Genomic DNA, 25871 nt, shown 5'->3' with positions numbered 1-25871 from the left:
TTGTAAAAGGCATCACTGAAATTTTTAAGAAGCATTTATATTCCAAGGCATGTAAAAATCAAGTTTATATGCCTCTTTCTCATTCAGCCTTATTTAATCCTCATGAAATCCTGATAGGCAGTAATGTTATTCCTGTTTTATGGATGGAGAGGCTGAAGCTCAGACGCACTGCCTGACATTCCTAGCCCAGAGCAGGTTCAAAGCCATGCATGCAGGATGGGGACTCTCGGGCACCAGGATGGACATGGGATCTGCAGGCGGGGGTGACACAGGCACAGAGAAGCCATCTGTGCCCCAAGTCTGTGAGTTCCTTCCATCCCATGACCTCTCAGTGGACTCTCATTTCCCAGGACTCTCCTGGCACTGGTAGAAACCCGGGATGATAAACGTCATAACTGCTAGGTGCCACGCAGTGCTGTGTTCTGTGCATTGCCTCACAATCCAGTTCACTGCAGCATTTCCCGGGAATCTCCGCCGTGTACTGAGCTCTTGAGACATGTGAGGGTTGAGCCCTGGGCCCTGCCCTCTGGAGCCTTGGGAGCCAAAACAGACAAGGTAAGCCGCACAAGGTAATGCTAGACCGACAGGCAGTCCTGTGGCTCCTCCGTGGACCTCTGATGCCACCGATGTCAAAAGGGAACCATGCGACAGAACCAAGAGTGTGTGCGAAGCTTCCATGAGGGGGCATGAAGAGAGCATAAAAAGCTGCAAGAGCCACACAAATGCTGTTTAAAATGCTGTTACTACTAAACGATGGGGTGTTATTTGTGGTTGGAACAGGAGCTTCCCAAGCAGAAGGGATAGAATTTGCAAACACGCTGAGTTATAAGGTGATTGAAATGTCCGTGGGACTGCAAAGTGAAGGGAACTAATATCAATTTAGTTCTTAGCATGACTAGGTCATTTGCTAGGCAATACGAAAGCAACCACACAAAACAATAACACAATGTAGCTGTGGAAGGCACAGTTTCAGAGTTCTCACTAATGACAGGCACTTGCAAAGTGCTGTGGGTACCCTTATCCTCTCAGAGCTCCAGCAGACCTGGGCGGGGACTGCTGTCATCCCGTGTCACAAATGAGGCCACCAAAGTTTACAAACTGTCCCAGGACACACAGCCACAGACACTGTGGTCACTGGTCTGTCCAGTGGTCCATACTTCCCTCTCAACAATGAAACCCCTAGAGCCCACAGTGTGGGGGCCCATGATGAAGACCCCCAGTCCTGCCTGTTCCATGCCATCTAGATGATGCTGACCCAACCCCTCTCCTCACCCCCATTCAGACATCAGGCCACAGAGGCAGCCACATGACCTCAGCCTGGACAATCAGCTTGTGGACAAGAACTCCACATTCTTGAGAAAGTATCTGGGGTCAGGGATGGGCCTGTGACCTGAGCAGGGCGTTTCCTGCAACTGTCCAGACAGACTACTGGGAGAGGGTGTCCCTGTCCACAGCTGGTCCAGTGGACTTGGGAGCTGCTGGTGACCATCTGGCTCCAATGCAGAGAGAGATGTTTTGAAAAGGCAGCCAAAGAAAAGCTGGACCAATGGAGGGAGAGAAAAAACAAGAGTCCTGGTCATGTCTTTAGAGATTCTGGATCAAACCATGCCTGAAGCCAAATCATTCTTTGGACTCTTCAGTTACATGAGCCAATATGTTTCATTGTTATTGTTGTTTAAGCAATTTAAACGCAATTTCCTTTTTGTAAAGAAAGGGTTCTAAGTAATAGTATGGTAGAGTCAGAATAAAACCCGGATTCCACGTTCGTGGTGACCGTGGCGGAGTGGGCACTGGATGTCTGTATCTGTTTGTAATAACAACAGTTATGGGATTAGCCCCGAATAAAAACAGTAGCAAGGAGCCTTTGGTGAGCCCTTTCGATGTCACTGTGACTTCCTCCCTATGCTAACTCTGGGATATGGCTGTTATAGTCACCCCATTTTCCATACCAGGGCGACAAGTACCAGCAGAGTGGGCATGGCTTGGTGGCTTGCCCAGAGTCACACAGCAGATCCGTGAAGGGATGAGGTTTGTAGGCAGCTGCGGGAATGCAGCCTGGGCTCTAAGTGTTTTGCACAGTAAGCAAATGGAGTTTGAACCATTCTTTAGAAAAGAAGCTCCTGGAGTATTTAAAGTTGAGGTGTGGTGGGCTGGATGCACAGTTAAGAAAAACCACATTGGCTGCAGGGAAAAAGACGGGTTGGAGGGAGAGAGAATGAAGGCAGTCAGGCAGAGGGGCCATAACAGGATGAACAGTTCAGGTGACAGGCGAGGAGGGCCTGGCTCAGCCGGTCAACAACAGCCTGATGCTCACCTGCTGAGAAGTGAGTCTCTGGGAGGACGGCTTGGCCTGATCTGTGGCCTCATGCTCTGCACCACTGGGCAATTCAGGCACGGCCACACGGTGACGCCACTCTTTCTCTGGCCTTCCGTAGGGCTCTGATGCACACAGCTTCAATATCACAACCCCACCAGTCCTCAGCAAGACTGGAAGAGTCTGATGGTTCTTTATATTATTTTTTAAAAATCGTCCCACCGTACAAATAACTTTTTTGATGTGCAGTTCTATGAATTTTAACACTGTAACCATTAAGATTCAGAACAGCTCCATCACTCTAAAACACGCCCTCCTATTGATAGAAGAACAATTTGGATGAATTTCAAAGACATTATGCAGAAGGAAGGAGGTCAAGCTCAGAAAGCTTTTTGAATTTCATACAGAATCAGAGTATAAAGTTTGGAGATTGACTTCCTTCTTTCCACATAATGCCTTTGAAATTCATCCAAATTGTTGCATATTATCAATAGTTCATTTCCTTTTGTTGCTGAGTAACATTCTTTTGTATGGATGGATCACAGTTTGTTTATCCATTCACCTGCTGAAGGGCATTTGGATTAGCTCCAATTTGGGGTGATCATTAATAAAATTGCTATGAAATTTTCTTACATGTGTGCACACAAGTTTACTTTCCCCGGGAGCAGGATCTCAGCCATACGGTGTCTGCTTAATCATGAAGAAGCTGCCAAACTATGTCTCAGAGTGGCTGCATCCTGTTGCATTCCCACCAGCAGGAAATGAGAGATCCAGTCTTTCTAGTCTTGCTAGCACTTGGCATTCTCAGTAATTTCATTTTGGCCATTGTAATTGATGTGCAACGGCATCTCATTATGGTTTTATTTTGCACTTCATCAACGGCAAATGAGGGAAAATATTTTTATGTGATGATTTCCCTTCCTTGTGATCGTTTGGTAAAATGTCTTTTTCCATCTTTTGCCTATTTCTGTTTTGTGTAAATTTATGGGATACAAGTGTAATTTTGTTACATGGATATATTGCATTGTGGTGAAGTGAGGGCTTTAACATATCCATCAGCTGAATAATGTACATTGTACCCACTAAGTAATTTCTTGTCCTGTCTCCATCCCACTCCCCACCCTGGGTCTCTGTTATCTTTCATTCCACTCTTCACGTCCCTGTGTACATATGATTTAACTCCCACTTATCAGTGAGAACGTGTGGTATTTGTCTTTCTGTTTTCTGAGCTGTTTCACTCAAAATAATGGCCTCCAGTTCCATCCCTGTTGCTAAAAGATATGATTTCATTCTTTTCATGGCCGAATAGTATTCCATTGTATATAGAGATCACATTTTCCCTACTCAAACATCCCTTCGTGGATACTTAGGTTGGTTCCTTGTCTTTGCTATTGTGAATACTGCTGCGGTCAACATGAATGCAGGTATCTTTCTGGTATCACAATTTCTTTAACTTTGGGTGTACACCCAGTAGTGGAACTGCAGGATCAAATGGTAGTTTTTGTTGAGAAATTTCCATACTGCTTTCTATAAAGGTTGCACTAACTTACAGTCCCATCACCAGTGTATAAGTGTTCCCTTTTCTCTGTATCAACATCTGTGATCTTTTTGTCTTTTTAATAATAGCCATTCTGGCTGGTTTAAGATGGAACCTCATTATGGTTTAAATTTGCACTTCTTTGATGATTAGTGATGTTGAGCATTGTTCCGCATGCTTCTTGGCCATTTGTATGTCTTCATATCTTCTTTGAAAAATATCTATTCACATCCTTTGCCCACTTTTCAATGAGATTGTTTGGGGTTTTGTTGTTGTTGTTGTTGAGTTGTCTGAGTTGTTTGTAAATTCCGGATATTAGTCCCTGTTGGATGGATAGTTTGCAAATATCTTCTTCCACTCTGCTAGTTGTTTGTTCACTCTGTTGATTGTTTCTTTTGCTGTGCAAAAGCTTTTTCGTGTAATTAAGTCTTTTGTTTATTTCTTAATTGGTGCATTTATTTTCTTACTGCTAAGTTTTAAGACTTTTAAAAACATATTCTGTATCCAAGTATTTTGTTGGATATGTGGTTTGCAAATGTTTTAGCCCAGTCTGCAAGTTGCTGTATTGGTTTGCTGTGGCTGCCCTAAAAAAGTCCCACACGCTGGGGAGCTTAAACAAAGGGAATTTACTATCTCACTGATACGGTTTGGCTCTGTGTTTCCATCCAAATCTCATGTTGAATTGTGATCCCCAATGTTGGAGGAGGGGTCTGGTAGGAGGTGATTGGATCATGGGGGTGGATTTCCCCCTTGCTGTTCTCGTGATGTGAGTTCTGACAAGGTCCAGTTTTTAAAAAAAATGTGTAGCACCTCCCCCTTCACCATCCTCCTCTTTCTGTGGCCACATGAAGACATGCCTACTTCCCCTTCATCTTCTGCCATGATTGTAAGTTTCCTGAGACCTCCCCAGCCATGCTTTCTGTACAGCCTGTGGAATCGTGATCCAATTAAATCTCTATTCTTTATAAATTACCTGGTCTCAGGTAGTTCTTTACAGCAGTGTGAGAATGGACTAATACACTCATACTTTTTTTGGAAACCAGAAGTCTGAGATCAAGGTGACTCTGCAGGATTGGTTTCTCCGGAGGCCTTGCTTCTTCACATGTAGATGAGATGCTGTCTTCCTCCTGTGTCCTCCTGTGGTCTTCTATCTGTGTGTGTCTTTGTTATAGTTTCCTTTCTTTATAAGGACACGAGTCAGATTAGAGTAGGACTCACCCTAATGACCTCACTTTAACTTGATCACCTCTGCAAAGACTCTATCTCCAAATAAGGTCACATTCTGAGGTACTGGGGTTAGGACTTCAACATGGGAATTTTGGGAGGATACAATTCAACCCATAACAGTCACCTTTGCATTCTCTTAACAATGTCTTTTGCAGCAAAAGCTCTAATTTTGATAAAGTCCAATACATTATTGCTTTCTTGTATGAATTATGCTTTTGATGTTAAGTCACATCTAATAATGCTTTCCTCAACTCCCTGATCCCAAATATTTCCTCCTGTGATTTCTTTTAAAGGTTTTCCAGTGTTTGCATGTTATATGTAGATCCATAATACATCCTGAGTTAATTTTTGAATATGGTACGAGTCTTAGGCTGAGGTTCTTATTTTTGGCATATAAGGGACCAATTGCCCCAACACCATTTGTTGAAAATCTGTGCTTTTTCCATTGACTTGTTTTTGCACCATTATAACAAAGGCAAATGTCTGTATTTGTGTAGGTCCATTTTTGGACTCTATATGGCCTTCCACGTATCTGTGGATCTAACCCTTTGCCAACACCACACTGGCTTGATTACAGCAGCTCAAGAGTAAGTCTTAAATCAAGGAATTTAATTCCCCGTTTTATTTTTCAAAAAATAGTTTATCTATTCAAATTCATTTGACATTTCATATAAATTTTGGAATCACCTTGTCTTTGTCTAAAAAAATCATGCTGGGATTTTGATTGGAATTATTTTGAATCTGTACATCAATTTAGGAATAGTCAGCATTTTCACAGTGTTGGAATCTTGAGTACAGTAGGCTCTTCACTGATTTATGTCTTCTTTGAAAGCTCTCATCAGTGTTGTTTCTATTTCAGCATTCAAATTCTGTACATGTTTTGCTATATTTATGCTTATATATTTCACTTTTCGACCTATTTAAAATGGCATTTTTAAAAATTTTGGTTTTCAGTTTATCAATCGCTAATGCATGGAAATGTCTGTGTGTGTGTGTGTGTTGACCTTGTTTAACCTTGCTAAACTTGCCTTTTAGTTCTAGAAGATTTTTTGGCTACTCTTGGGATTCTGTATACAGTCATGTTGTCTATGAATAGAACAGTTTTATCTTTTCCTCTTAAACTGCATGCTTTTATTTTTTTCCTGCCCTATTATACAGGCTAGGACTTTCATTATAATGCTGAATAGAATGGGTAAAAGGGGATTCTCTAGCCTTTTTTTATGATTTTCGGGGGAAATTACATCTTTCACTATTAAGTAAAATGTTAGCTATAAGTTTTTGTAAATGCCCTTTAGCAAGATGAGTAATTTTTCTTTTATTCCTAGGTTGCTTTGAGTTTTTATTGTGAGTGGATTCTAAGTTTTATCAAATGCCTTTTCTGTACCAATAGATATGATCATGTGATATTACTTCTGAGACAGTTAATACAGTTGATTATATTGATTGATTTTTGAATGTTGACCTGGTTTGGAATGCCTAGAAGAAGCCCAAGTTGATGGTCTTGTATTCATCTTACTATACATCACCAGATTAAATTTACTAATAGTTTTGTAAGGATATTTTTATATGTGTTCATGAACAATATTAGTCTGTAGTTTTCTTTTTGTGTATTATCTTTATTTGGCTTAGACAACAGGGTAATGCTTATCTCATCAAATAAGGTAGAAAACATTTCCTTTTTTTCAAGAAATTGTATATAACTGGTGCTATTTCTTTCTAAATATTTGGTAGAGTTTGACAGTAAACCACCTTGGCTTGGAGATTTCTTTTTTTTTTTTTTTTTTTGAGACGGAGTCTCACTCTGTCACCCAGGCTGGAGTGCAGTGGCACAATCTCGGCTCACGGCAAGCTCCGCCTCCCGGGTTCACGCCATTCTCCTGCCTCAGCCTCCCTAGTAGCTGGGACCACAGGCACCCACCACCATGCCCGGCTAATTTTTTGTATTTTTAGTAGAGACAGGGTTTCACCATGTTAGCCAGGATGGTCTTGATCTCCTGACCTCATGATCCGCCCGCCTCAGCCTCCCAAAGTGCTGGGATTACAGGCATGAGCCACCGCTCCTGGCTGGAGATTTCTTTCTCAAAGATTAACTACAGATCCAATTTTACTAATAGGGCTATGCAGGCTATCTAGTTCATCTTGGGGGAGTTTTGGCAGTTTGTGGTTTTCAAGGCCTTAGTCCATTTCATGTAAGTTGTTGAATTTGTATGTGGAGAGTTGTTTGAAGTATACCTTCCTTATCCATTTGATGTTTGCAAGATGCACTAAAAAAAGTCTCTTTTATTTCTGATATTGGTAGTTCTAGCTTCTATTCTATATTTCCTTGTCAGCCACGCTAGAGGTTTGCTAATTTTATTGATCTTAACAAGGAGTCAGCTTTTATTTCTTAATATTTTGTATTGTTTTACTATTTTCAATTTGACTGATTTCAGCTCGTCTTTCTTCTGCTTGCTTTGTGCATATTCTGCTCTTTATTTTTTGTAGTTTCTTAAGGTGAAGACGATTATTCACTTGCAATCTTTCTTTTGTCATAGAAGAGTTTAGTGCCTTAATTTTTTAAAGCGCTGATTTATTTACGTCCCACAAATTTTGGCATGCTGTATTTTTATTGTTCAAAGTATTTTCTAATTTCCCTTAAGACTTTCTCTTTGACCCAATGATCATCTAAAAGGTGTCGTTTAATTTCCAAGTATTTGGAGATTTTTCTGTTATCTTTATGTAGTTGATTTCTGTTTTAATTCCATTATGATCAGAAAACATACTTGGTATGATTTCCATGATCTTTCTTGGTGAATGCCCCATGCAGACTTGAAAGTATGTGAGCTCTGTTTTTATTAAGTAGAGTGTTCTGTAAACGTCAATTAGATGCAGAGGGTTGATGGTGTTGTTCCCTTCCCTATCTTTGCAGATTCTCTTTGCCAGTTCTATATCTTACTAATAAAGGAGTGCTGAAGTTCCCAACTGTCATGGGAGATTTATCTATTTCTCCTTTCAGTTTCTTCAGTTTTTGCTTCATATATTTTGAAGCTCTTTTGTTAGATGCATACACATTTGGTATTGTTATGTCTTCTTGATGAATTGACTCTTCTATCATTATGTAATGTTTTACTTTATCCCTGGTAAATATATTTGCTTTCAAGTCCATTTTGTCTGATATCAATATCACCAACCTGGCTTTTTTGATTAGTGTTCATATAGATAATCTTTTTAAATCTTTTTCCTTTTAATATACCTGCACCATTATATTTGCAGTGAGTTTCTTATGAGCAGCATATGAATAATGCTTGTTGTTTTATGCATTCTGACAACTTCTGTCTTTTAAGAGTGTGTGTAGACCATTGTCATTTACTATAATGATTGATATATTTGGGTTCAGTTCTACTATTTTGCTATTTGTTTTCTGTTTGTTCCATCCATTTGACATTCTTCTGTTTCCCCTTCCCTGCCATCTTTTTGGGTTATTTGAACATATGTAGCATCATCTATTGTGTTTCTTACTACATCTCTTTATAGAGATTAATTTTTTAAACACTGATTGTTCTAAGGTTTGCAATGATCATACTTAACTCTTTGCAGTCTACTTAGAAAATGTCACTTCACATAGAATGGCCATGCTATCTACATACACATACATAAATACATATATGTGTATTATATAATATATAAAATTTGCATACAATATTTAATAACTGTTGTCAAAGATACTATGGCTTGCCTACCTTATGTCTATTTTTCTTTTCTTCCTTGCTAATATGACCCTGATTTTGTTCAGTGTGTAAATATACTTCGCTAAATTCTTTTCTCTCTTGTATCACAAAGTCCGGTCAATATAGGAAGGAGAAAATGCTGCCTAGTAGTTCTGGGAGGGCCTTTTGAAGAGGAATATGTGGCTGGCCTGTTCCCATGGCCGTGCACATTTGTGTTGAGTGCTCCTGTTGTCTTGCCTGGGATGCAGATGCAGTGAGCAGAGGTGGGCAGCCACCGTGGAACCATAACCTGAAAACCACTGGTAAAGGAGGGCATGGCAGGAAGTGGGAAGGAGACCGGATCCTGACACCACCACAGGGCCCTCATCCTAGGGCCGGATTGCTTACTTCTAAATTCCATGTTATATGACAACAAATAGGGGGACTATCATCAATAATAATTTCACTGTACATTTTAAAATAACTAAAAGAATATAATTGGATTGTTTGTAACACAAAGGATAAATGCTTAGGGAATTGATACCCAATTTTCCATGATGTAATTATTACACATCGCATGCCTGTACCAAAATATCTCGTGTGCCCCATAAATACATACACCTACTATGTACCCTAAAAATTAAAAATAAAAATAAAATAGGCTGGGCGTGGTGGCTCACGCCTGTAATCCCAGCACTTTGGGAGGCTGAGGCAGGCAGATCACGAGATCAGTAGATCGAGACCATCCTGGCTAACGTGGTGAAACCCCGTCTCTACTAAATAAACAAAAAATTAGCCAGGTGTGGTGGCGGGCGTCTGTAGTCCCCGCTACTTGGGAGGCTGAGGCAGGAGAATGGCATGAGCCCAGGAGGCGGAGCTTGCAGTGAGCCGAGACTGCGCCACTGCACTCCAGCCTGGGTGACAGAGTGAGACTCCCTCTCAAAATAAATAAATAAATAAAATAAAATAAATAAACAACAACAAAACAGAAAACTTTCCTCCATGGGGACCTGCAGACCCTCTCTCTCTCTATGTGATCATTGCCTTATGCATTACATACATTGTGTTCATACACTGAAAACATCATCAGACAATGGTACAATTTTTTGCTCTCAATCTTCATACATATTTTAAAGAATTCAAAGCAGAGAATAATAATTTGTTACATTTACTCACATATTTATCACTCCTGTCATTTCATTCCTTTCCGATGTTCCAAGATTCCTTCTATCCTTTCCTCTCTGTCTGGAGATCTTCCTTTAGGAATTCTCTTAGAGCAGTTCAGCTGTAATGAATTCTCTTTGTTTTCCTTCAGTTGAGAATGTCTTTATTTCATCTTTATTCCTGAAGGTATTTTCTCTGGATATATACTGCTGGGGTGGCAATTATTGTCTTTCAGAACTTTAAAAACGCCGTGCCACTTCCGTCTGACCCCCACGGTTTCAGATAAGAAAGTCACAGCCATTTGAATTGCTTTCTCCCTTTAGGGAATGCATCTTTTTTTTTTTTCCTGCTGCTTTCAAAACTTTGTGTGTGTCTAGTGTTCAGCAGATTGATTATGATGTGTCTGTGCATAGATTTCTTTGGGCTTATTGTCTCTGGGGTTTGCTGACCTTCTTGATTCTGGTGGCTTAGGTAATTTCCAAAATGTAAAGAGTTTTCAGCAAATTTTCTTGAAATTTTTATGTATTTATTTATTTCTTTAGCATCACACTCTCACCTCAATTTGATTCCAGTGAAAAAATACTAGACCTTTTATTGTTCTCTGACAGGTCCCTGAGGCTTAGTCTATTTTTTTTTTCCAACTTTTTGTTTTTCAGATTGGATAATTTCTTTTGGTCTGTCTTTGAGTTTGCTAACTCTTTTCTCTCTCATCTCCAGTCTGCTATTGAGCCTATCCATGAGGTTTCTGTGTGAGTATGTGTGTGTGCACGTGTGCACGTTCATGCATGCACGCTTTTTTCAGGACTTAAATTTTCCTTTTCTAACTTTTGATTGATTTTGAATGTGTTTGCAATGACTTTTTGGAATGTTATTATTGAGACAGGGTCTCACTCTGTCACCCAGACTGGCATGCAGTTGTGTGATCTCGGCTAACTGCAACCTCTGTTTCCTGGGCTCAAGGGATCCTCCAACCTCAGCCTCCCAAGTAGCTGGAACTACAGGCACATGCCACCACACCTGGCTAATTTTTGTATTTTCAGTAGAGATGGGGTTTCACCATGTGGCCCAGGCTGGTCTCAAACTCCTTAGCTCAAAACTGTACACGTGTTTCAGCCTCCCAAAGTGCTGGGATTACAGGTGTGAGCCAATGAACCTGGCTGGAATGTTTTAATAATCACCGTTTTAATGTCTTTGTCAGATAATTGCAACAGCTGTGTCATCTTAGTATCATTGTCTGTTGACCATCTTTTCCCATGAGAATTGGGATATTCCTTATTCCTCACATGCCAAGTAATTCTGGATTGTATCCTGGGCATTCTGGATGGTATGTTATGAGGCAGGGAGAATGAGCAATGCCCAGTGTTTGTTTCTGCAGGCAGCTAACCTGCTCACACCCAGGCCACAAGTTCCAACGTGCCTTCTCTGGACTGGCTGTGGTTTTATGGTTAGCTCCACTTTCCAAGCTTTGCATTTCTGTCCAGATCTGTCCCACAAGTGGCCATCCAGAGGCCAACCTAGGACTCGGTCTGTGAGTGCTCCGTCAGTTTAACCTTCATGACGTTTGAAATGCTCCATGAGGCAACACCCATGTGTGCACAGCTTTGTGTGTACAGGGGAACCGTGAGCCCGGGAGTCTGCAAACAGCCTTTCCCAAGTTCCTCTGGCTGGAAATTTGGGATGTGAGTTACCCTGTTCTGTGGAGCACTTCTGCAGTCATCCCTTCGTCCATGGTCATGCAGCTCAGAAGCACCCAGGGGAGGATGTGTGAGGTGCAGCCTCGCCTCCTGGAACACCAGGTCTGCAGGACGGAGAGGATGACTGCCCTGCACCTGTGGGCGCGTATCACTCTCTGCTGCCACCATCTCCACGTGATTGCTTAAGGGGTTGTGGTGAGAGAGAACAGAAGGAAAACATTGAAAAGAAAATGGGGATTTCTAGGCTTGCCATGATGGCTCACGCCTGTAATCCCAGCACTTTGGGAGGCCAAGGCAGGCAGATCATGAGGTGAGGAGATCGAGACCATCCTGGCCAACATGGTGAAACCTCATCTCTACTAAAAATACAAAAATTAGCTGGGCGTAGTGGTTCATGCCTGTAATCCCAGCTGCTGGGGAGGGTGAGGCAGGAGAATCACTTGAACCAGGGAGTTGAGGACTGCAGTGAGCCGAGATCGCACCACTGCACTCCAGCCTGGCAACAGAGTGAGACACCATCAAAAAAAAAAAAAAAGGAAAATGGGGATTTCTGATGGGAGTTTGTTTTCCTGCTACTTGGGCCATAAAGAAAGAGTTTTTCCTGGAATTCTCTCTACCTGCACCTTGGTGTCCATTTCTGGGTTTCTAGGGCATTGAGTTCAGACTTGAAGAGATCAGGTAGGGGACAGAGTAAACTGCATTAATCTGGTGGAATGTTGGATTTGGGAGTTCTTTCCTCCTGCTGCTGTTCGCTTTCCAGGGTCTTTAAATAGTTGTTCCATGTATTCTGTCCAGCTTTTCTAGGTGTAGCCATTTGGAGAGTGTGTTTAACCCAACTTACCCAGACCCAGAACCGAGTCTGCTTGTTTTTGTATCAGAGAGGCTTATGCTTATTTTTCTTAAGTTTCTCTTGCACAGTCCTCATGGTTTAGAACATCTGTTCAAATCAAAGCTGTGCTGTTCTACGTGTTGGTGTCAAATAGCATGTTTTGATTAACTTTTCCACATTTGTTCTTTGTAATATTAAAAAACATATCCATGTAGTTTTATCGATTTGATTTGAAAATACTTTTAAATACTTTTAACAGAATTCTTGCTCGGTATGTTCCAGACCCCACTATCTGGTAATAAGTTGTGAAAACGAAAAAATTGATTTACTTTAAAAAAAAATCAATAAATCACAAGAAATGGATTTGATTTTAAAAAGAGAGAAAAATGAAAGTTTCTGCCTTATTAAAATATTCATGTTGAAATAGGAATGTGTCAACTGGGAAGCCATGTGCGTGGGGCCTGAGCTCAGAACACACATTTGGGAGATCAAAGACACGTGTCTTCCAACCTCATGTCCTGCCCTCCCAAACCTGACCAGCCCACAACTTCTCCCCAAGAGCCTCCAACCATCTGCAGCTCGCCCCATGCCTCTCCCGACCTTCCTCAGGCTTTTCCCAACAGGGATCCCTTTTGGTTTCTGCAAAATACACCCATCATTTCAGGCTGAGTGTACCTGCCCACTCCCGAACACCTGCCTGGATTCAGTGGGTACGTGCCAGCCTCTTTCACCCACAAGAGCCTGAAGACCAAGGTGTGATCAGGGTTCCTACTGCAACCCTGCCCGCACTCCATCCCCCTGGGATGGGGCCAGACACAGATGATGGATAAATGCTGTCCTCCTTCCTCCCCTCCCTCCTTGGTGGTCAGGTCCCCACTTTGTCAAGGCATGGCCAGAGCAGATGTTTCTTCAAGGAGAAGCAGGAGCTTTGCAGGCTGGTGGGGGGTAATGATGAGCCAAGCACAGGGTGGGCATCTTCAGACTTCAATGGGGCATAAGTGTGGAATTGTTGGTGGTTCTGATGGGCTGGAATGTGGAATGCAAAGTGGAAAAATGTGGCATGGGATGGTCAAGGTGCAGAGGGGCCTGAGTGGAGAGGAGGGGCCAGAGAAATGCATTCCTGATGTATCCTGATGCACACAGATACGGTGTGTATATGTGTACAGTGTGTGTGTGGCATGTATGTGTGTGCAGTGTGTGTGTGCGGTGTGTATGTGTGTGCAGTGTGTGTATACAGTATATATATGTGTGCAGTGTGTATGTGTATACACTGTATGTGTGTATGCATTGTGTATGTGTATACAGTACGTGTTGCAGCGTGTATGTGTGTACAGTGTGTATGTGTGTACAGTGTGTATGTATATACTATGTATATGTGTGTACAGTGTGTATGTGTATACAGTATGTATGTGTATACAGTGTGTATGTGTGTACAGTGTGTATGTGGCACAGTGTGCATGTGTATACAGTATGTGTGTGCAGTGTGTATGTGTATACAGTGTGTATGTGTGTGCAGATGGATGGATGGACAGATGAACAAATCCAGAGGGTGACAAATGGTTTAGAGATTTGGGTAAGGAGTTAGAGCAAGTTTACCCGTTAAGATGGAGTGGACATCAAAACCACAATGAGACACCACTTCATGCCTGTTAGGAGGACTACAATTAATAAGTAAATACATAAATCCAGAAAATAGTAGCCATTGACAAAAATGTGAAGACACGGGAGCTCTCCCGCCCTGTTGGTGGGAATGGAAAAATGGTGCAGCCTTGGTGGAGACTTCATGGAAATGTCAAACACGAAGTTACCAGATGTCACACTACAATGTGCACAGAGATACTGACACCTGTGTTCATATAAAAATGTGAATACAAATAGGGATAACAGCATTATTCATAAGAGCCAAAAAGTGGGAGCAACCCAATGTCCATCAATGGAGGAGTAAATAAAGAAAATGCTGTGTATTCATGTTCCCTTAAATCACAACGGAATATTGCTCAGCCAGAAAAAGGAAGGAAGCACTGACACCTGGTCCAAACTGATGAACCTTGAGAACACGATGCTGAGTGGAAGAAGCCAGACACAAAAGCTCACTTATAGAATGATCCCGCTTATGTGAAATGTCAACGAGAGGCAAATCCATGGAGACCGAAAGTGGATTTGTGGTTGCCAGGATTATGGGGGAGGGGAAAATGGGTAGACGCTGCTTAAGAGAACAGGGTTCCTTTCTGGGGTGATGGGAATGTTCCAGACATAGAGAGAAGTGACAGCTGCACTGCCCTGTGGATCCGCTGAAACCCACCCAACTCTGCACCGTAACATGGTGAATTTTACAGTATATGAGTTATGTCTCTTTTTTTTTTTAAAAAAAAGGGGTAGAGGGAATGGTGAGGGAAATGTCGCTGAGAACATAAGGTGGGCATCTGTCAGAGAGGTCTCCCTCCCAACCCAGGGAGCGGCAAGTCCAAAGGCAGTGAGGCATGCCCTGCGTTCCCATGAACACACTGGGGACCTTCCCGCCTCTCCACCTTCAAAAAAAAGAAAATTATAAAAGCAGGAATGAATTGGACCGAGTCAAAACCCGTTGAATACTCACTTTGTGCTGGGCACCACACTGACTCAAATTTTATGTTCTGTAGAGGATCGATGAATGAATGAAGGAAACACCCAAATGAGGTCCACAATTCAGCTGTGTCCACTCAGAGACTCCCCTTCTAAGACAGTCTCTCCGTAAACAAACTCCAGCTAGCAGCATGTTTGCTACAGCAGAAACCAGGTGAACCATCCTGTACGTCTGGAGATCGGCATAAATCCTCAGAGGTCGTGTCATAGGGGAAAGGTCAACCAAGGAGCAACTCATCGAGCAGGGACAGCTGGCTGTATTTCTTTCATTCATTCAACAAACATGCATTTTGTGACTGATCAGCGTGTTGCACAGAGTCTTAAAAGTAATGGCCCCTGCCCTCCAGCCCCCTGTGGTGAGAAGACTGATCCATTAGTGAACAATCACGACACCATGTCACCTGGACTGCACAAGAGAGAGGCGCAAAGGCTGTGGGAGGCCATGGGAGAAGCCCACCTCAGTCTCATGAAATCAGAGAAGCCTCCCTGCAGGAGGATTTCTCTAAGCCAAGTACTAAAGTACAAATAAAGAGGCAGCCACATACAGCAGAGAGGGGGGCTGAGCAGCCAATAGTAATGACCCCCTTTCATTGAGTTCCTACTGTACGCCAAGCACTAGGCTAAGCAGTATTTACAGTCGTTATTTCTTTTTTTTTTTTTTTTTTTTTGAGACTGAGTTTTGCTCCTGTTGCCCAGGCTGGAGTGCAATGGCACGATCTTGGCTCATCACAACCTCTGCCTCCCAGGTTCAAGCGATTCTCCTGCCTCAGCCTCCCGAGTAGCTGGGATTACAGGCATGCACCACCACGCCTGGCTAATTTTTTTGTATTTTTAGTAGAGACAAGGTTTCTCCATGTTGGTCAGGCTGGTCTCGAACTCCTGACCTCAGTTGATCTGCCCGCCTTGGCCTCCCAAAGCGCTGGGATTACAGGCGTGAGCCACCGCACCCAGCCCTACAGTCATTATTTCTAATTCATATCATAAAACAACCCTGGAAGTTACACACTATCAATCATCCCGGCAGTAAAAAGAGGTAACTCAGGCCCAGAGACATCAACCAACCCACTTGGGGTCATTCAGTAATTACAGAAAGCAGGAGAGGGCAGGACTCATTCGGGGACACTCTCTGGTAAACCAGGTGGCTGGATGTGGACCATGAAGATGATGAAGGTGATGAAAATGAAGATGAAGATGAAGAAGAAGAAGATGATTAAGATGAAGATGAAGAAGATGAAAATAAAGATGAAAATGAAGATGAAGATAAAGATGAAGAAGAAGAAGATGAAAATGAAGATGTTGAAGTTGAAGCTGTGCATGTTGAGGCCTCCAAGGTGAGCAGGAATGGATCAGTGTTCTGCCCAAGGAGAAGGCAAGGCATTCAGGACCCAACACAGGAGAAGTGGGGATATTAGGCAGAGCACAGTGATCTGAGCTGCACTTGAGACATCCTGCTGGCACCTGCTGGCAGAGGACCTGAGGGGCACTGCGGGGGAGGTGCAGTGGTCGGGGCTAAGAACTCAGGGCTGGCTGACCCAACAGGACTGGGACGTTTGGTGTAGAATTTTGCAGCATGGCCTGGGGTGGTTCTGCCCCACCTGCCTTGGTCAGTGTCAAGCCTGGCACAAGGACAGGGAAGTCTCTGCAGAAGGAGGTTGGCCAAGGTGCTACCTGCAGAGGCTGTGAGGGTGCCCCACTCAGGCTTCCTCCCACATTTGGGTTGGAGAATGTTCTATGTCTCTTCCTCTGGTCAGCAAGGAGCATGGGACTAACTTCCTTCCTGATCCTGTCCATGTTCCCATGGCCCTGAAGGAGGGAATCAACCTACGACCCTGGCATAGTCCTGGACAGGATGTGGCTGGGGAGAGCCATTTGTTGGGGCCAATGGACCCACCAAGCTGGACTCCGGTAGGGGCTTTCTGCTCTCTCCTGGTTCATTGCTGCTGGCCTTGCTTCTGACTGGCCACAGCCCACATCGAAGCTGTGAGGCGACTAACAGGCTTCCTGGTGCCTGCTCAGGAGGACTCATGAGAGCCCCATGAAGCTCTGTGCATCCATGCCACCAACTCTCCCCAGAGCCAGGCCCTGCCTGCTGAGGTGTGCTCTCCGTGTACCCAGAGAGTCACCTCTCATTTGGCTGGAAATCCATCACCAGGAGTTGCTCCCATCCAGCTTGTCACATCACATTCCTGGCTGGTGCAGGCTTAAGTCAGTACTAAATCTTATATAAGAGTCATGATTGGTCAGCACAGGTCTATTTTCAGAAGCATCGCATGGTAACTGACTTTGAACACGGAAGCATGTTGGCAGCAAGTGATTGATTTAAGAATCCAGATTTAAAGACACCTGTCTCCTTAGATTTAATGCATGCAAAGCACTTGGGGCAAAGAGGACCTTTTCTGGTTTTTCTTCCCCCTTCTTTCACCTAAGAGTGATACATCCCCCGCTCAGCTTCTGAGCTCCCAGCTTCTCATTGAAATAGTGCTCCTGGGAAGACAGGCATGGTGAGGAGAGGGGTGATATCTGGTGAGCAAAACTGAAGCCAGAATTTTCAAGGATTGCGGTCCATGGAGAGCACACTTCCACCCACACCGAAACCAAGCAGGACAAAAGGGATGCACATGAGACCCCTATTTTTCAACTCTGTTTGTGGTGTCAGCATGTTCCACCGTCCTCCAAGGAGCTCAGGATCAACTTGCATGCTCATAGCTACACTTCCCCAAGTACTGACTGTACCTTGCCTTTATGCGACGTTTCTACTTCGGGAACCCCAGAGCGTCTGCAGCCCAGACCTCCCCTTGGAACTGCAGAGTCCTGACAGTGGGTCTGCCTGGCTGTCATCTCCACTGGGATGGCCATTTATGCCCCACATAGGGCTGTCAGCTCCCATCCCTCAAAACCGCCTCACCACAGCAGTAGAAGGCAACCCATCCATTCATCCAGTGGCTCACACTGAAAAACCTGGAGTCAACTGCAACTTTCCTATTATTCACATCCCACAACCAAGGCATCATCCAAATACCCTTCACCCTCCCTTCACAGTAGATCCAGAATCCCAGCATTTCTTTCCCCAGTAACTCAGCCAGGTCCCTGTCACAGAGCCACAGTGTTTCTTAATACATAGAGATCAGATCGTATCACTCCTCTGCTCAAAATCCTCATCTCACTCACAGTAAAATTAAGTCACAGGCCTTTTAATTTTAATGCAAAAAAGGAGATTGGTCTGCCCTGCCCCACCCTTTCCTTTCTTGCCGGGTCTCCTGCTTCTCTTCCCTTTTGTATTAACCATCTGCTGCTACATCGTCACCACCACGACCTTGATGGGTTCAACAGCACACACTCACCATCTGACAGGTTCCCTGGGTCAGGAGTCCGGGAGTGGCTGAACTGGGCCATGACTGCTTAGGGTCTCATAACTCTGCAACCAACCAATGTATCAGTCAGAGCTGGGGCTTACCTGGAGGCCGGGATAGTGAAGAATCTGCTTTCAACCTCCCTCAGAACACTGGCAGGATCCGTTTCTTGTGACTGTAGGACTGCAGTCTGACTTCTTGCTTGCTGTAAGCTGGAGGCCACCTGCAACTCCTGGAGGCCCCCCGCAACTCCTGGAGGCCCCCAAGCAGCTCCTAGAGACCACCTGCAGCTCCTGGAGCCACCCACAGCTCCCAGAGGCCACCGCAGCTGCTAGAAACCACCTGCAGCTCCTAAAGACCACCTACAGCTTCTCAAGGATACCCACAGCTCCTAGAGACCACCTGCAGCTCCTAGAAACCACCTGCAGCTCCTCAAGAATACCCACAGCTCCTAGAGACCACCTGCAGCTCCTATAGAGACCACCTGCAGCTCCTAGAGACCACCTGCAGCTCCTAGAAACCACCTGCAGCTCCTTGCCACATGGGTTTCCCCGGTAAGGTTGCTAAGGTCATCTAGCCAGCAAAGAAAGCGTGTGGTCTAAGGATAAGACGGAGATTTGCATACCCATGTTAGAATGGTGGGAGGGACACTCCATGGCTTTTGCCATATTCTATTTGCTGGTACATTGTATTTGCCTCATTGAAGAGGAAGGGATTATACAACGGCATGAACACCAGGAGGCAGAATCTCTGCCTCACCTTCTCATTTCCCTCCATCCTATGGGCTCCCACGTGCCTTGGCCCATGGGTCATCTACAGTAGATGCTAATTTCCAGGGCCCTGGCCAGATTGCACAGAGGGTCTCATTCTTCAAGCCCATGGGAGAAAATCTCTAAGTTAATGTAGAGAAAGTAAAGTGGTGCTTGCTGTATCATCTGCTTTTCAAAGTTACCAAACACAATAAGAAAGGTTCTCAAGTATTTCACAAATACCTCCCATGGGCTCATTGTTCAGGATATGTTATTTAGTTCAGTCTGGGGTAACTGGAGTTTGTACCTAGCTATTTGCTCTTCTCTAGACTCCATTGAAAATGGAGATTTGAATGACAATGAATGAGATTTCTGGTATCATCTTTGTTGTGCTTAAACAATCTGACACACTTAATTTCACAATATTTTGTTTTCCAATCCCTGTCTGTAATAACAAATCTCAATGTTTTCCACCCTGGGAATAGCTTTTCACTATTCAACAGAATGACATTTCTGAAAGGTGTAATTTGTGCTGGGCAGTCAATTGCATATGTGGAATTTAATATATGATAACTCTGGTTCCCTGTCAAAAAGACAGTTGAGTGCCTAGTACATCAGGAACCTAAAGGAACCTTTGTCGTGAGCCACAGGGATGAGGACTAGTCTCTAGGTACTAGGTGTTTTGCTTCTATTAATAATTATCCTGATGTCTGCTGACAGAGCATGGACCTCAGTTTTAGGTTCTACCTACCCTCTGCATACAGACCTGAAAGTGATTTTACCTCTTCCGTTCTCATGTTCCCTAAAGCATGGGTTAGATGATACTTATTTCAGAAACATTTCCATGATTTGTGAATTTTAATTTCATTAATATTTTTCAATTATTCAGAAGGTTAAATATTTTGAGGCTAACCTATTTTAATTTTCTCCTTGATTTCTTGAAATAATTTATTCCTTTCAAATGCCTTTTATACTCTGATATCAGCTGGTTATTTGCATCCATATTTTACTCGCATTTCTGTTTGCTTTAAACATGCTCCATTTTTAACACGTGTGTATGTTTTGCTGCACAGTGTTGAGCCAGGATTATTTCTTTCGACTAGCTATTCTCATCAGCACCATTTGTTGTTTACCTGTACTATTGCAGTCACCCCTTATCCACAGTTCAGTTACCATGGCCCAAAAATATCACATGGAAAATTTCAGAAATAAACACTTCGTAAGTTTTAAATTGTGCACTGTTCTGAGTAGCGTGGTGGAATCTCGCACTGTCCCACTTTATGCCTCCTGGGACGTGAATTACCCCTCTGTCCAGCTTGTTCATGCTACCCACCAGTCAGTCATTGACATTGTCTGCTGCTACCATCCAACCATGGATATTGTCTCGGCTCAATGATCCAGGATCACCTGAAGCAGATGATCCTCCCGACATCAGAAGGTCAACAGTAGCCTAACACGGTGTCACAATGCCTTCATCATTCACTCGCTTTCTCTAACCACACAGGCATTTTATATCTCACCTCATCACAAGAAAAAGAGGGTGTAGTACAGTAAGAGATTTCGAGAGAGACCACATTCATACAACTTTCATTACAGTAGATCACTATAACTGATCTATTTTATTGTTAATTTCTTATTGTGCCTAATCTATAAATTAAACTTTATCATAAGCATACATGTATAGGAAAAAAACATAGTATATGTAGAGTCTGTATTATCTGCAGTTTCAGGCATCCACTGGGAGTCTTGCAACATATTCCCATAGATAAGGAAGAACTACTCAGATTTTCTTGCAGTAATGTTGCTTAACAACTGACCCTCCTGAATCTCAGTAGCTTGAAACAACAAACATTTATTTCACATGAACTTCTCAGCTCCAGGCAGAGGTGAAGTTCAGGCAAGCTCCACGTGGCTTTTGATTCTAGGACTCAAGCTGAAGAATCAGACACGGTCTGTGCTGTGATATTCTTGCGGTGTATGGTAGAATACAAAATATATACTGGAGACTTGTAAAGTCTCTTAGAACCTTGTTTTGGAACTGCCATGCTGTCATATTTCCCCACATTCTACTGGCCAAAATAAATCAAATTACCAAGTCCAATATCAATGATGCAGGAAAGTACACCCTTCTGGGGCAGGGGAGTGGAGCAGAGTGCTGGGAAAAGAGAGTGCATATTTTCTGAACAGTCACAAGTATGCATTTTCCTTTCTCCCTAACACTTCAAAAGAATCATCCAATCCAGGTGCGGCAATTGAAAGCTCAAATGTTACAATTTTTTCATCAGGTCTCAGTGGGACTTCTCTTGGTCTGGAGACCTAGGAATTTTTTTCAAAGATATGTTCCTCTCACAGAGCTGAAAAATAATGGTGGCATAGAGCAGGACAACTGCCTTGAACATTTCTATTGGAATGGGGAAGAATAGGGAGGACCCTGCAGTCACTGGCCCATAGCAATTCCGAAATCCAGGTGGCTGGTGTTCCACAGTTCCCTATTGTCAGGTAAAGAATGTTGGTGGGTTAGGCTGAGGTTCTATTCCATTGTTCTCCATCGCTCTTGGCTTCTCCTTCAAAGAGTTCCTTCTGTTACCCTTATCTTTCTTTTTTTTTTTTCTTTTTCTATTTTTTTTTTTTTTTTTGAGACAGAGTCTTGCTCTGTTGCCCAGGCTGGAGTGCAGTGACGTGATCTCAGCTCACTGCAAACTCCACCTCCCGGGTTCACCCCATTCTCCTGCCTCAGCCTCCTGAGTAGTTGGGACTACAGGTGCCCGCCACCACGCCCGGCTAATTTTTTGTATTTTTAGTAGAGACAGGGTTTCACCACGTTAGCCAGGATGATCTCAATCTCCTGACCTCGTGATCCTCCCGCCTCGGCCTCCCAAAATGCTGGGATTACAGGCGTGAGCCACTGTGCCCAGCCCTGTTATCCTTATCTTTCTAGGCCATGTCTGAAGAAGGCGTTTGAAAACTATCCCTGAAGAAGGCTTTGGAAACTATGCCCTGGGGTTGGCTAAACAGCATTCTCCTCCTTTCTGCCTTTAGAAATGTGGGTCTCAAAGGTCATTTTACACCTCAAATCTTACAGGAGGTACTTTGAACTTATCTGGCATCTCAGGAACCACACTCTTGAGACATTTATTCTAACTGAAAGGACTCACCAGGAACCACTTTTACCCAATCAAGTATCTTAACAAGATAGGAGATTCGTGGCCTTAATGACTGACCACTCCTGATGTGTTTAGAAACAAACCCATTCTCTAAACTTGCCAAGTCCAAGAACATCTCAGATTTCTCTATTCTCTTTCTTTTCTGCTTGTAAAATGGCCAGTTGTTTTCTTAACTTATGACTTCCTAGTAGAGCCCTGTGAAATGCAACTAATAATGCTTAACTGGCACTAGTATGGTCGGTCCTGAAATATCTTTGCCCAGAGTCACAAATTCATTAGGTTTTTTTTTCTCTCTTTTTTTCTTTTTTTTTTCTTTTTGAGATGGAGTCTCACTCTGTCGCCCAGGCTGGAGTGCAGTGGCGCCATCTCGGCTCACTGCAAGCTCCGCCTCCTGGGTTCAAGCAATTCTCCTGCCTCAGCCTCCCCAATAGCTGGGACTACAGGCGCCCGCCACCATGCCCGGCTAATTTTTTGTATTTTTAGTAGAGACAGGGTTTCACCATGTTAGCCGGGATGGTCTCGATCTCTTGAGCTCATGATCCACCCACCTCGGCCTCTCAAAGTGCTGGGATTACAGGCGTGAGCCACAGCCCCTAGCCTCATTTTTTTTTCCTTATAAATTACTACAGGCTAGTACTTTGCCAAATATTTTACTACTGCACAATATAGGTTGTAATTTTTCAGATTCATTTTATGGTTCCCATGCTACCTGCTGCCCTGTCTGCAAAACAATACCAAGAAACAGTGTATTTTAGGTTTCTGTTACAAGAGCACTCCACTTCTTTATTCTAAATTCTGTATCAGTCAGCTTTTTCTTCAACAATACTTCATAATGAACAATTGCAAAAGCTCAATGACTTAAAACTATAATCATTTTTCACTCTTGGGCCTGTGCATATGCTCTGACTGATCATCTCTAGGTTGGTGTCAGTTTCAGGTCTTCCCTAGAGTCCAGGGTGCAGACGGAAGGTTTAACCTGTATATTGCTGCTCTCATGGTAGAGAGAGGAGCTCAAGAGATGTGGAATGAGCTTGAATTACATTATAAAGCCACTGTTTGGAGCTGGCATATTGTCATGTTTTCTCACATTCCACTTGCCAAAGGAAATCATATGGCCAAATCCACCATGAATATATCGATAAAGTAAATTCCTCCCAGAGAGGTGAGAACGTTAGGATGCATATTGTTAAATAGTAAGACAATCTACTGCAGTATCCTTTTCTTTTTGGTTTTAGGCAAAGTTTTTTATGTACAGCATACAGAAAAGTCATGATCAAAATATGCCCTTTAATGAATACTTGCACATTTATGTAAACATACTTACGAAGACACCACCTTATGCTATTTCTGTCATACATTTTACTTCCATATGTTACAAACCCCACATTTTTGCTTTAAAAAGCCAATAATCAGCCGGGCACAGTGGTTCATGCCTATAATCCCAGCACTTTCGGAGGCAGACGCAGGTGGAATACCTGAGGTCAGGAGTTCAAGACCAGCCTGGACAACCTGGTGAAACCCCGTCTCTACTAAAAATACAAAAATTAGTTGGGCAAGGTGGTGCGCACCTGTAATCTCAGCTACTCGGGAGGCTGAGGCAGGAGACTCACTTGAACCCGGGAGGTGGAGGTTGTAGTGAGCCGAGATCACGCCATTGCACTCCAGCCTGGGCAACAGAGCAAGACTCCATCTCAAAAAAGAAAAAAAGAAAAAAAAAGCCAATAATCTTGTTAATAAAATTTAATACAATGAAAAAATACTTCAAATTTAGGGCACATTTACCATTTTGTTGCTCTTTATTTCTTTGTGTCAAATTCTAGTATCAGTTTCCTTCCTTCTAAAGAACTTTCAATAAAATGCTGGTAGTGTGGGTCTGCTGGAGATTATTAATGCTTTCGGCTTTTCTTTCTTGGACAAAGTCTTTGTTTTGCCTTCATTTTAAAGGGCATTTTCACTGCATGTAGATTGTATTCTAGATTACATTGTTCTTCCTGCATATTAAATCTGTTGTTCCATTGTCTTCTAGCTTGCAGTTTCATGAGAAATCTGTGATTTTCTTATCTTTATTGCTCTATATTTTATTGGCCTTTTGTGTCATTGCTTTTAAGCTATTTCTCATTATAACTGTTTTTTTCAACAGTTTTATTATGATATGTCTTGGTGTGTATGTGTGTATGCATGCACACTTGTATTTTTCATGTGTGGGGTCCATTGACCTTCTTTCATCTGAAAGTTTATCATTTTCATCAAACTTAACCAATTTTTGGCCCTTTTTACCTCAAATTTATTTTTGAACTTCTGCCCCTTCTCCAGTACAAATTTGCGTAGGTTAAATGGCTTAATATTGCCCCTAGCTCAATTAGGCTCATTTTCTTTCTTTTTTTCCTCTCATTACTCCATTTTGCATACATTCTATGTCTGTCTTCAAGTTCACTGATATTTTCTACTGTAGTCTCAAACCCATTGTTAATCCGATCCACTGAAAGACTCATATCAGATACATGTTTAATGTTTAGAAGATTTGTTTCATTTTTATATATCCCTTTTTTAAAAATAACTGGGTATGTTTATGGTAGGTGTTTTAATGTGCTTCTTTTCAACTTTTCAATCACTTTTGTAGTGCCTGGGATTGATTTATTGACTCTTTCCTTGATTGCGTGTCACATTTTCTGGCTTTGGGGGATGTTTAGTCGTTTGGTTGAATGCCTGACATGGTGATGTGTGTGTTGTTTTCCTTCCGAGAATGTTGGGCCTACTCTACTTTGCAGAAAATCAAGTTATCTGCTATCCAGTCTGATCCATTCCGGTTCCATTTTAGGCTTTGCTGGGGAAGGTGGAGAGGAACCTTCAGTATGGGGATAGTTCCACCTGACTGCTAAGGTGTAGCTCCACAGAGCCTTCCACTGACTACCCCAGGTAACCTCTGAGGCCCTCCCTTCTAGCTGGTTGGAACTTGAATATCTTCCTCTCGGATGTGGGTTCTCAGAAATGTTAAACTAATAGGTCCTCGGGGATCCTTTGCCTGGCTCTATGAAGTTGCACTCTATGCATGCATGACTGATACTCAGCCAAGACCCACGGTGACTCCCATATAGACTCCTGGGCACTTTTTCTGCTTTTTTCTATAGCACTTCTCTGCAAAGTTTAGATGCCTCAGCCTTTTACTGACTTAATTCTGACACTCCCAGACTCTTTTGCATTTCTCATTACGACATCCACATAGCAGAAATTGTCTTCGGGAAGAAATATGGCACATGCGAGACAAGCCTTTACTTCTCTTATCTTTGGAATCACAGTCCTGGGCTGCCTGTTGTTCAATATTTGGAAAGAGTTGTTTCAAATGTTAAGTTTTCAAATTTCTACTTACTTTTATAGTGAGAAATTAGGTCTAATGCTTGATATTCCATCCACAGGAAGCAGAAGTATTGGTGTACACTTTAGGTGGAGTCAATGTATTTGCTTTCAAATGTTTTCTTTGAACCATAGCTTTCTACTTCATACTTTTAGTGAGTATAGAATTTATCCAATGTTTTCA

At 42.9% G+C, this 25871-nt stretch overlaps 1 long non-coding RNA gene across 1 annotated transcript in view, besides 2 other annotated features; it reads right to left on the bottom strand.

Annotated features, from left to right (window-relative positions):
- Nucleotides 1-25871, bottom strand: part of EPIC1 (epigenetically induced MYC interacting lncRNA 1) — a 223927-nt gene that overhangs the window by 76694 nt on the left and 121362 nt on the right. The gene's annotated exons all lie outside the window — the stretch shown is intronic.
- Nucleotides 1834-2333: an enhancer, noted in NCBI's record as "H3K4me1 hESC enhancer chr22:48172323-48172822 (GRCh37/hg19 assembly coordinates)". NCBI's record gives its function as "activates a minimal SCP1, AML or CMV promoter by ChIP-STARR-seq in primed H9 embryonic stem cells {active_cell/tissue: H9 hESC(primed)}" and the evidence as "EXISTENCE:reporter gene assay evidence [ECO:0000049][PMID:30033119]".
- Nucleotides 2334-2835: an enhancer, noted in NCBI's record as "H3K4me1 hESC enhancer chr22:48171821-48172322 (GRCh37/hg19 assembly coordinates)". NCBI's record gives its function as "activates a minimal SCP1, AML or CMV promoter by ChIP-STARR-seq in primed H9 embryonic stem cells {active_cell/tissue: H9 hESC(primed)}" and the evidence as "EXISTENCE:reporter gene assay evidence [ECO:0000049][PMID:30033119]".

This window comes from Homo sapiens, chromosome 22 (genome assembly GCF_000001405.40).
Source record: "Homo sapiens chromosome 22, GRCh38.p14 Primary Assembly".
Taxonomy (NCBI): domain Eukaryota; kingdom Metazoa; phylum Chordata; class Mammalia; order Primates; family Hominidae; genus Homo; species Homo sapiens.
This window is presented reverse-complemented; position numbering and strand designations above follow the sequence as displayed.